At 45.2% G+C, this 12,603-nt stretch overlaps 1 protein-coding gene across 1 annotated transcript in view, besides 1 other annotated feature; it reads right to left on the reverse strand.

The window, feature by feature from the left end:
• ALPK2 (alpha kinase 2) overlaps positions 1-12,603 on the reverse strand; it is a 147,845-nt gene that overhangs the window by 61,933 nt on the left and 73,309 nt on the right. The gene's annotated exons all lie outside the window — the stretch shown is intronic.
• Positions 1,780-1,859: an enhancer, noted in NCBI's record as "active region_13395". NCBI's record gives its function as "activates an Ori minimal core promoter by ATAC-STARR-seq in GM12878 lymphoblastoid cells {active_cell/tissue: GM12878}" and the evidence as "EXISTENCE:reporter gene assay evidence [ECO:0000049][PMID:35858748]".

Below are 12,603 nucleotides of genomic sequence, written 5' to 3' on the forward strand. Positions count from 1 at the left end.
GACTCTGCAGAGAGTCCCCAGCAGCAATAAGGCCTGCACAAGATGCAGGCCCTCTGCCTGGGACTTCTCAGTCTCCAGAGCTGTAAGAAATACATTTCTTTTCTTTATAAATTTCCCAGTTTCAGGTATTTTGTTACAAGTAAAGAAAACGGACTAAGTCACAGAGGGAACAAGTGCTCTGTGCACCAGACCTCAGGCGGCTATGTGTAGACCACACAGGAGCTTGTGGAGGCAGTCTGTGCGTTGATACAGGCAGGAGGCTTTAAGAGCTGGGGGCCATGCGGGGCTCTGGGTTCCAAAGAGAGAGGGCAGCAGAAAGGGTATCACTACACTAAGGCTACAAGGTTGCAGATGACCACGTTCTGGGGCCCATGGCTGAGGCAGGATGACCACAGGCTCTCCAACTCCACCAATGCTGAAATGACAGGAATTCTCTTCCTCCTGCAGTGTCCTTCCAGTGCCTTCTGCTGAGAAAGCGTAATACTGTGCTTACTTTAAAGAAGAATAATGGAATTTCGTTAGTACAGGGCACATATTAAAGGGTGAATTCAGAGCTGAGAGGAATGAATTAAAAACCGACACATGAGGTCAATGATGTTTGGGGATGAGAAGTCTCCCCAGGGTCCCACAGTCAAAGGCAGAGCCAGGATTTAAAGCCAAGTCTGTGAGGCTACAGAGCCCTTTCCAACCCAGCATTTCTAATCAGGTAAGTTGGAATAAACCTCACCTCACCAAGGGCTGGGAACTTCCCCTAATTTAAGTCCAGAACTTCTAAGCTCCTGAAACACTTTGGATATGAAACTGCAAATGTCCTTCTTAGGTGCAACATGGCCATCTCTCAATTTCTCTACTTCCCTACAAGGTCTAAGGGTAGGGACTCAGTTATTCATTTCTGAGTCTCCAGAGCCTAGCACATAGGGACTCAAATAATTTTGCTGAATGAATAAGCAGATGAATGAATACAGGAGGGGAAAGGGTAAACCAAATTTAGTAATGTTTCCAAGCCTCTTTTTGAAAGCAGCATTAAGCTTGGAAACTTAACGCTTGAATAGCATTTTTCAATTGAAACCCCATTCAACATGCCTCTGATTCCACAAACATATTATTTTCACTTATTGGCCTTTCCAAAGTTCTGCCTCCTAGGAATGTCTGCCATGGATTTAATGGAAAGGTGTGTTTCCTCTTTGTGCACCCCAGGATGTTCAAGGTTATGCTTTTCATCATTAATGAGTGTCTTTCATGCCAGCCAAGTGCATGACACTAATTTGAGTCACTAACAATAGAAGGTTGTATGAGATAAGATCCCTCTCCTCAAATAGCTTATAATCCAGTTGAAGAGACAAGATGTACATGGAAAACAAGATGTACATAGATAACAATTCTTGACAAGTTGTGCTAATAGCCAAGTGGATGAAACTTAACTAACAACGCTGCTCCAGGACAGAGTGTGGAAGGTCACCACTGTATCATCCTCTTCCATTTCAACGATAAAATTCCTGCAGTGCAGAAATCAGAGGTTGTAATCTTACGTCATATGTTTCAATTCTAAGATACTTCTTGAACATTTCCATGCAGTCTAAGGGACTTCTCTACTGATTGGAATGGGCAGATGTGGTAGATACTGTTGGCTGACTAATTCAACAGTACCGCCAATCCCCTTGTCTCTTGCTACCTCCAACTAAGAAGGCTGGAAAACCACACACTCTCCCAGCCTCTTACATAGCTAGATGGGGCAAAGGGGTCAGTCTGCCTAATGAGATGTTCAAGGAATCCCACCAAGGGACTTCTGGGGAAGCTTTGCTTTCCTTGTGTAAGGTATAGACATGGTGGGTACCTTGCCTATCCCCTCCTTCTTCCTTCAATCAGGATGTAATGCCTGGTGCTGCAGCTCTCATCTTCCAGTCCTGGGGCATGAAAATGAAAAGCCAGCACACTATGACTGGTGCAGCAGAAAGAGAGAAGGAAGTTGGAGATTTGCAGTCATCGTCGAGCTACTGGAATGACACACAGACTTTCACTAGCCCCAGACTTCTTGTGAACTACAAAAAAAAAAAAACACACACACACACACACACTATTAGCTAGCTGACTATTCTGTTAACTGCAGCTTCTCAGCAGCCTAATGGATAGAAGAGAAAAATATATGGCTGAGGGAAGAAGGGGAAGCCAGGTGAGGGTCACCTTGGAACCCTCTGGAGGCTCTGGGCAGCTCCTGGTAGGGATTAGCTGGAAGGGGACAGTGTCCCGTAGAGCAAGGGGTGTGGTCCCTGGAAGGGAGCTCAAGGTGCTGGTCAAAATGCCAAGGGATCAAAGGGCCTTAGGCAAGGTGAACTTGAAGTAGAGTGGGGGAGGGAGAATGGGAAATATGAGAAGATTGATTGTCAAAGGAGAGAGGCCACAGTTCTAAAGCCAATCAGAAGCCCCGGGGCCAGGAGGGCCAAGCCACTCGGTCCCTAGCTTCAACTGGTCAGTCTTCCGTGTGCCAACATGCCCTACCATGCATAATTTTCATTCTCCAACTTCTTTTTTTTTCAAAGTTCTTTTAGTGTTCTTTCCTTCTTATCTGGATGAGGTAAGTAGAAATAGCACTGTGTCCTTCAACAGTTGTCTACACATCATCAATTTTCCCTTGTGGTTCCAGGAAACTTTAAATGAGACCTTCCCCTCTCTCCAGCCATTCTGGGCTGTTGTAGCCTCCCCCACGGATAACCTTTCCTAAATATCTGCTGAGCTGTCACAACAGGCAGAGCGTCATTCGGCCATTTGTCATTCGATAGATCAAATCCATACCACCTGGGGCTGCAAAACTGAAAATAGATAGCCCGGTCCCCAGCCAAAGAAAGCTTAAAGGCAAGCTAGAATATTTCAGGAACTTGAGTTTATTTTTAGGAGTTGCCTGATTGCCCAGAAAGAAGCTTCTCTTGAAGGCTTTGAATATTAGGATAACACGTAATAGACTGGAGGACTGTAACTTCCTTGATATTCATCTAAAACCTCCAGTCCTGAAACAGATCCTAAACACCCCTATATCTGACCAGCTCTTCTTCATTCCATTCCCTCCTAAGGGACAAGAAATCCTCAGCCAACTGGTGTTACAATTCTGTCTTCATTTCTTGAGAGTCATAGAGTTTGTAAAATACTGATTTGATCTTTTGCTGGGAGAGGCCTGGGTTTCCATGGTTCACACCCTTCCTAGGAGCTCTGTGAGTTCAGTGGGAGTCTTTGCCTGGTGACATGGTACGAGTGGAAGGGCACTAGAGCATGAGCCATGAGCATATGAATTTATTGTACATCTCAGGTGAGGTGAGCTAAGTAGTAACGCTACTATTAGTAGTAATAATTGCTAATCCCTACAGCCTTTTTAACACACGGCAGGCACTGTTCTAACTGCTTTACTTACATTAATGCAGTTAATGTTGGTAAAATGGCATAGAAATTTATGACTTGAGGATTTTGGGTTGTACATTGCAAACGAAGGGATATACCAACTATTCCAACACAGGCGGGGACCATGTAATGGCAAACTCATGTGAAATGGGTCACAAAAACGGCTGTCTTCTTTTCCTGCATGCATCTGTGTTTTCCTGCATAGATGATGGGAGATTTCTGGGAAATGAGAGAGACAGAGTGAGCCATAATTTCCATAAAGTGCAACTGTATGCAAACATAAGAAAAGATGGTGCTATGAAGCCCCATGATTTCTCTTGAATTCCACTAGGCATTTCTGAATAGTCTCTGGGGGGTTTTTTGGTTTTGTTTTGTCTTTTTGCTTTTTTATTTGCTGTGTCTTAAAAAGACACAGGAGATGAGAGAAAAATGGAGTAGGGTGATGGAAAAATGATTTGAGTCTCAGAAAACTGGGGTTTGGTCTTGGATCTGCTACTATACAGGAAGTGGCTGTAGAGAAGTCACCAGGTCTCTCAGAGTCTTTCTTCCACAGTAAAGTAAGAGTTAGATAACACCTCTTGCTTCCCAACAGCTTTGGTGTTCTGTGACCTGCTGCCAAGTAAATGGGGCCTAAGCTTCACCCCTCATTTGCAATCAGAGGTTCCGTGGACTCCTATGGCTTCTAGATCTAATCTTCTCTATTAACAATGAGAATTGTTAGGGAAAAGGATACAGCATGTCACCATGTCACCATAGGTAGACCGATTGAAGATTGAGCCAGTGGGACCCCAGAGAGGGGCAGGAAAGAGACAGTGGGCTGGAGAACGGCTCACCATGAACATGCACTCTCTGGATTCCAAGTTCCTCTGCCTCCCTGGTCTCTTTCCTTCTCCCTCCTCTAGGCATTAAGTGCCTTGTGTCTTTGGTAGACTGCACTGTGTTGGCGTATAGACCCTATGGTTCATCCTGCAGAGTCCTAGAGGCTTACAGACCTAGTCCAAGCCAGTGAAAATCATCACAGCCACAGAATGCAACACCAGTGGCCTAAGCCTCCAACCTTGTTAGCCCTTTGTAAGATACAGGCTGCTTTGAAGAGCCAAGAAAAGTTATGGCTTCTTCCCAGAAAGTCTTGTTTTACCCACACAATGTTGCACATAATTTCCGGGGGGTTTCAGACCCCCTTGGGCCTATGGATATCCTGTTAAGGGCTCGTTGAGCCTCAGAATGAATCCCTGCTGTATGTAGACCATGAGCCTGGGGTGAGTGGGATGGTATTGTTTACGTCCCACAAACTGAAACTTTCCTGCAGATTTCAGACAAAATGATAAGGGGAAAAAATTAATTCTTAGTCAGGTTCTAGGAGAGTATTTTCAAATCAATATCTCTCTTTATAGTTTTTAGAATTTGTGAGTAAAAGCAAAACCAAGGTAGTAGCAATTACCACACTGCAATGACAATAATACATTACATAAAGCAAGTTCTTGTAAACTTTAGAAGCAGGAAATACTTGTCACGATTACTACACTAGTACTTTGCCTCTTCAGTGTGGGCTTCAAAGTGTACAGCAGTGATGGTATTCGGCTATTGGAAAATCTGAATATAAACATAAATATTAAGCCAGTCACCTGCCTCAGATGCTCATACCAAAAAATGGCGAGAAAATGCAGGTTTGGGGATTGAGGATTCTTTATATCCTATATCTCTTCTCTAGTAAGTCAGCAGGATAGTGATAGGACCTCGGGTTTGGTTTCCTGTGTTTTGTTTTTTTTTTTTCTTTGAGATGGAGTCTCACTATGTTGTCCATATCACAGTGGTGCGATCTCGGCTTATAGCAACATCTGCCATCCAGGTTCAAGTGATTCTCCTGCCTCAGCCTCCCAAGTAGCTGGACTTACAAGCGAGTGCCACCATGGCCAGCTAATTTTTGTATTTTTAGTAGAGATGGGGTTTTGCCCTGTTAGCCAGGCAGGTCTTGAACTTCTGACTTCAAGTGATCCACCCACCTCGGCCTCCCAAAGTGCTGGGATTACAGGCGTGAGTCACCGCGCCCAGCCAGGCTTGGTTTCTTGATTGGCAGAAAATAACCCCTCTGGCAGTACAATCACAGGTGACGCAGCAGGCAACAACGATTACCTGCTAAGACTGAGAGACAGCTTCATTCCAAAAAAGAGACAAAATTTCCTGGGATATTGAGATCGCTGAGAGGGACAACAACATTAATGTTGTTCTACTTGGTGCAATGAGCATGGTAAATGCTCAGAAATTATGTCAAATGAGTGAACATCTATCCAGTCTGATCTTTGTCCAACATCCCTTTGCCAACATATGTAGGAAGGTTTTGCCTCTTCAGTCTGGTTCTCTTCTCATGTCAGATCTCAGCATCTCTCTGTTGAGACATTGATCTCCTACCTGAAAATTGCTCCAGGCTCCTGCGTTTTGGTTAATATGTAGCTTCTACTAAACTAAATCTCTTATTCATCACTAATAGTTTGGTGCCTGGTTTGTTGGGGTCTTTTTTAGATCTAAACCGAAGCTTTATGTTCTCTTTTGAGTAGAGAGAGAGAAGCATCTTTTGTTTTAACCACAAATAATTGAGGTTTCAAGTATGTACCACTTAGAAGACATCAGCATAACTGTACCGACTATAGCCAGGCACCATGCACTGAAAGTGAGGATGTCCAGTTTACCCTGGGCACAGAGCTATAAATTGCAAGGTACAACAGCAGGGTTGCATTTAAAGATGAGGGAAATCAAAGGTAAGATGTGAACTGAGGAGGACTATGGTGCAGATTACACCAGAAATTCAGGGGCCCCTTTGGATGGATCCATCGAAACAAACTTTCCCCTTGTAGATGGAAGGAAAAATAACAATTCACAGAAAAGTTTCTGGGAAGCTGAAGTTGGTAGGGAAATGCCTGGAGAACCAAGGAGGAGGAAACATCTGGAATTCAATGTTGTGATTTGAGCTAGGAAGGCAAAATATACACTGAGCTGATATTTGTGCATATGGTGGCTTGAAAATTCACACACCTTACTTCTCAGGTGCCTGAGTAAATGCAATCCCTTTATTTTGTCTCTGAAACCGATCCTGTCTTCCTCATGGGCCCCCAATCAGGGATGTGGGAGATGAGTGGAAAATAACAAAATTTTCTTTCTGATTAAGCCTATTCTGGTCCAATCCCTTGGGCAGTCCTCTAGGGAATGCTCACTTTCTAGTACTGCTGGCCCCACCCTCTGGAAGACAGTGTCTGAGCTGCCCTGCATGGGTAGGTGGAAGGGTGGCTAGTTCCTGTGTCCTGAAAGGGAAGCAGGCAAAGCTCTCCTGTCCTCTCAGTTTCCCTTAGCTTGCTCCACCACAATCCCGGCATTGCAAAACGTGGAGTCAGGACCTACGTGCCCCTCTCACCCTGACTCTGTCTCCGTCACCTTCCTCCTCCCAGTAGCTCTGAGCAGGGAAGGCTGTGTCCACTTGTCCACACCCTCACACCTGTTTGCTTTCAGATTGTGCAGAGATAAGATTCTCTGATCTAAGAAGAAAGGAACATAGAAAACTCTCTCAACAAAGCCAGACTGTAAGGTTATTGTCCTGCTTAAACAAATACAAAACCTATTTATTTTCATCTGTTTGCTTTCCACAGCACAACCCTTATCTATGCCTCTCTCACAGTACAACCCACATTCTGGTGTCTATGACATACAACCTCCTTCCCCTCCTCCATCACGTACAACCCCATCCCCATCTCCATCACGTAAAACCCTATCCCTGCCTTCATCATGAACAACCCCATCTCTGTCTCTATCACATACAACCCCATCCCCATCTCCATCACCTACAACCCCATCCCATTTCCATCATATATGACTCTACCCCCATCTATATCATATACAACCCCATCCCCATCTCCATCATATATGACTCTACCCCCATCTATATCATATACAACCCCATCCCCATCTCCATCACCTACAATCCCATCCCCATCTCTATCATATATGACTCTACCCTCATCTATATCAGATACAACCCATCCCCATCTATATCACATACAACCACATCCCCATCTCCATCACGTACAACCCCATCCCCGTCTCCATCATGTACAACCCCATCCCCACCTCCATCGTGTACAACCCCATCCCCGCTTCCATCACGTACAACCCCATCCCCACCTCCATCACATACAACCCCATCCCTATCTCTATCATGTACAACCCCATCCACATCTCCATCACATACAACCTCATCCCTATCTCCATCATATACAACTCCATCCTCATCTCCAAAACATACAACCCCATCCCCACCTCCATCACATACAACCCCATCCCCACCTCCATCACATGCAACCCCATCCCCACCTCCATTACATACAATCCCATCCCCACCTCCATCACATACAACCCCATCCCTACCTCTATCATATACAACCCCTTCCTCATCTCTGTTGCATACAATTCTCTTCACCTTATCACCATCTCACCCCCGAGATGGAGGTAACCCTAGTTTCCTGGGCTTCTTTAGAAGGTCCCAGAAACAAAAATGGAAAAAAAAAAACCCACATTTTTTTTCTTAATAATTCACTGTATCTACACTATTGGCAACTGTACCTGTTTCCTAGGGCTGCAAATGACCACAAACTGGGCAGCTTAAAACACCACAGCTTTACTCCCTCAGTTCTGGAGGCCAGAAGTGTGCATTCAAGGTGTCGCCAGGGCTGCACTCCTCTGGAGGTCCTCCCTTGCCTCTTCCAGCTTCTGGTGGCTCCTGGCCATCCTTGCCATTCCCTGACCTGTAGATGCATCACTCCAGTCTCTCCCTCCGTCTTCATGTGGCCATCTTCCCTCTATATCTTTCCGTGTGTCCTCTCCTCTTCTTATAAGGACACCAGTCACTGGATTTAGGGCCCACTCTAGTCCAGTATGACCTTATCTTAGCTAATTATATCTGCAGTTTCCATGTGCACAAAATTGCAGGGAACACGATTCAACCCACTAAAGCAATCCATTCTTTTTCCAGCCTGTCCTTTTGGCCCCCCACTCCATGGTCTCCCATTTACTGTCCACAATCAGCAGTGAAGCATAGTCACTTGACTGGGTGGGTGGTGTACACTTGAGAAGAGAAAGGTTTCAAATGAGATTTTAGTGGCAGGACAATGATAGGGAGGTTGTCCCTCTCCTGGAAGTTATGCCTACTTCTGTGCTAAGCAAAATCTGTCCAGAGAGTGGAATTCAGTGCAGCCAAGTCTATTCCTTGTCACCAGCCCAGGCTTCCAGACCCTGCAGTCAGCACCAGCCACTTCAGAATGTTCTGATGAAGACCAACCCATGCCTGAGTGGAATGTTCTGCTATCTCCTTATGAAGAGGCAGGGACTGAAGAGTTCCTTAAGTTTATGGTCAGATTTAGACCCTGAACTAGAAATTTAAGAGATGAAGGAGTAAATGGTTCTCATGATGGTTATTTTCCCACCCAACCCCATCAGTTTGATGGTAAATGTGAAAGCACTTGTTTTTAAATCATCACTTTAAAAAAAAATGCCCCAAATCGCAAGGCAGTATCAAAATACCTGTGCTGACTCAGAAAGATAATTTTTCAAGCATCAGCAGAAAGGGGAACTTACAGAATTTGCAATTTTACCTCCTGCCCTACCTCCCACCCCAACCCCAGTTCTGCAAATGTGGTAGAGGCAGTCAATTGGAGGGGGCGGGGGAATATAATTTTTCACGTTTCTGTCTTGCCTCATTAATCTAATTCCTTTCAACAAATATTGACAGACACTGTGTTTCTTCTGCGCATTCCAAGATGAATCAGACCTAGTGTCTGTCCCAACCCAGCTCACAGAATAACACCCCAGCTGGGCAAACAAATGACTATATGTAAAGGCTAGCACAGAGACAGAAATAACTTGCTACAGTAGAAATAATCTACTTGGGGGAGAAGAGAAGGGACAAGTGTATCAAGGAAAGATACAGAATCAATATATTTGCTGCTGATGCATGTACATTCATTAATTCCTTTATTCAACAAATACTTGTTGAAAGCCGTCTATGTTCCTGGCCTTGTCCTAGCTTCTAAGGAAAACATCGCCAGACAAAGTCTCTGTCTTCTTGAAACTTACATTCTGTGTAGGGAGGTGGTCAAGACTTAGGGTCGGCAGGTGTTCTATAAGGAGACAAGGTTGTTAATGATCTAGAAAGAAAGCTATGGCAGTGGCCCAGATGAAATTATGAAGCCTGGGCTACCGTGGTGGCTGGGGGAATGGAGAGTGGGTTGATTGTGTCCCGCAAAAATAGGTTCAAGTTCTAACCCTTGGTACCTGAGAATGTGACTTTACTTGGGAGTAGGTTTTTACAAATATAATCACATTAAAATGAGGTCATACTGGATTACAGTGGGCCCGAATCCAGTGACTGTTGTCTTCATGGGAAGAGAAAAATTTGAACACAGAGACACAGAGGGAAGAAGGCCATGTGATGATGGAGGCAGAGATTGGATTAATGTTGGCTCCAAACCAAGGAACCCCCAAGGGCTTCTGGCCACCACTGGAGCTAGGCCAGAAGTATGGGATGGCTTCTCTCTCAGACCTCCAGGGAAAACCAATACTGCCAACTGTCTGCTGATTTCAGACTGTGCCTCCTCAATTGTGAGAAAATAAATGTCTGATGCTTGAAGGCACCCCGGTTTTGGGTGCTTTGTTATGGCAGCCCTTGGAATTTAATACAGAGAGGAAAGTTCCATTGCAGAAGACACTGCGGAATTAGAACAGACAGGATTTGGGAATGGGTTAGACACAGGGCCTGAAGAATGCTTCAGCAACCACCCTCAGGACTCCAGCTCAGGGAATTTCACTACAAATAGGCTCAGTGAGGGATGGAGACTGCTTGCTCCAGTACTTGATACACCAAGTAAGTGCTTAATAAATGTTGATATGTTTAGGCTTTGTGTCCCCACCCAAATCTCATCTTGAATTGTAATCCCTATAATCCCCACGCATCAAGGGAGAGACCAGGTGGAGGTAATTGAACAATGGGGGCGGTTTCTCCCAAGCTGTTCTCATGATAGTGACTTCTCACGAGATCTGATGGTTTTCTAAGGGCCTGTTCCCTGCTTCACTTGGCATTTCTCCTTCCTGCTGCCTTGTGAAGAAGGTGCCTTGCTTCCCCTTCACCTTCTGCCGTGATTGTAAGCTTTCTGAGGCTTCCCCAGCCATGCTGAACTGTGAGTCATATTAAATCCTTTCCTTTATAAATTACCCAGTCTCGAGCAGTTGGGGTTTTTTTTTTGGTTTTTTTTTTTTTTTTTTTTTTTTTTTTTGAGACAGAGTCTCACTCTGTCACTCAGGCTAGAGTGCAGTGGCATGATCTTGGCTCACTGAAACCTCTGCCTCCCAGGTTCAAGCGATTCTCCTGCCTCAGCCTCCTGAGTACCTGGGAATACAGGTGTGCGCCACAAAGCCTGGCTAATTTTGTATTTTCAGTAAAGGCGGGATTTCCCCATGTTGGCCAGGCTGGTCTCAAACTCCTGACCTCAAGTGATCCGCTGCCTCGGCCTCCCAAAATGCTGGGATTACAGGCATGAGCCTCTGTGCCCACCCTCAGGCAGTTCTTTACGGCAGTATGAAAACAGACTAATACAAACGTGTTAGCTCAGCTATCGTCTTTGGGGCTGGAATGATGGACATTCGTGTGGATGCTTCTCAGGGTAGATCTATGTGGAAGACAAAGGCAGTCTGCCCAGCACAGAGTTGGTTCAGAATGGTAAGAAATCTGCCACTCTTGTCTCTCTGACTGCAGGGGTTTGGAGAAGAAAACTAGGCACCATGGTTGCTGGTAGTGTGATGGGCTTCAGAGTTCATTTCTCATTCCCTGTCACTAAAGGCCACATCCTGATCCACCAGCCCTGATCATAAGACAGACAGTAGCATCGCGGAGTGGGCACTGACCTGCAGGTGCTCCTCCTTCCACCCCATGGGGGATGTCCCCTCCCTGGCAGCCTGCCAAGGGTCCCCAGCCTCTAATTCTCTTGAGGATCTTGCCTAGGATCCCCGAGATCAGTGTGTCTTGTGCTTCAGTTGGTCCTTTCGACCAGCCGTGAAGTAACAGGCTTCTCTGCCCTCCCTTTTCTCAGGTCTGGAGATTCAAAGGATCTGGCCTGGGGGTTAACAAGCCTGTTTATGCCCATCATTGGAACCAGCTTGATATGGTTTGGCTGTGTCCCCACCCAAATCTTATCTTGAATTGTAGCTCCCATAATCCCCATGTATTGTGGGAGGGACCCCATGGGAGGTAATTGAATCATGGGGGCGGGTTTTCCTGTGCTGTTCTCATGATAGTGAATAAGTCTCACAAGATCTAATGGTTTTATAAAGGGGAGTTCTTTGCACACCCTCTCTTATTGCCGCCATGTAACATATGGCTTTGCTCCTCCTTCGCCTTCTGCCATAATTGTGAGGTCTTCTTAGCCATGTGTAACAGTGAGTCCATTAAACCCAGTCTCGGGTATCTGTTCATAGCAGTATGAAAATGGACTAATACACAGCTCAACAGGCATATGGCAGGGTCTGCCTGGTACAATCTTAACACACAACACTTCAAGAGGGTGGGAACACAGAAAACTGCAAGTTCGAGTTGTTCGAGTAACAACTGGTTAAGCCAGAGCCTCTTCTTAACAATTAGATTCATTCCATATGTGGATTTGGAAGTAATTAACCTGCACTTCTTTAAAATATGTTAAAATTCACATTTTCAGGAGTACAGTAACTAGCTTAGGTGAGATAACACTGAGATTCGAATCATATCTAGGTACCCACAATGGCTAAGTCTAATCATTTCTTGGTTATTATCCTGATTTTCTCTTCTTTGTCAATGTATAATATCACAAAAGAGCAAAGGTAAGCACTGAGCAATTCAGACTTGTTCCAAGCTGTCCGAAGGGAAAGAATTCTCATGTCTGACTTTGAATAGCACCATTATTAACCAATATTACTATTTATTGAATTGTTATAAAGTCTACCTACTCTGGAAATGTCCTTGCCAACCAGGTGCTAAGTGTACCCTTTATCATCTGGTGGGAAGTTGCAGGCCAGCTTTGCCTTGCACACTCCTGGAGAATGGGAGGGGCATGCATGAGGCCCGAAGAACCCCAACCATTTCAGTGGAGATGCTGGTGGCCCAACATGGTGAACACTGTCTCATCCCCCTGCCCTGAGAGTAGGCTC

Source organism: Homo sapiens, chromosome 18, assembly GCF_000001405.40.
Source record: "Homo sapiens chromosome 18, GRCh38.p14 Primary Assembly".
NCBI lineage: Eukaryota > Metazoa > Chordata > Mammalia > Primates > Hominidae > Homo > Homo sapiens.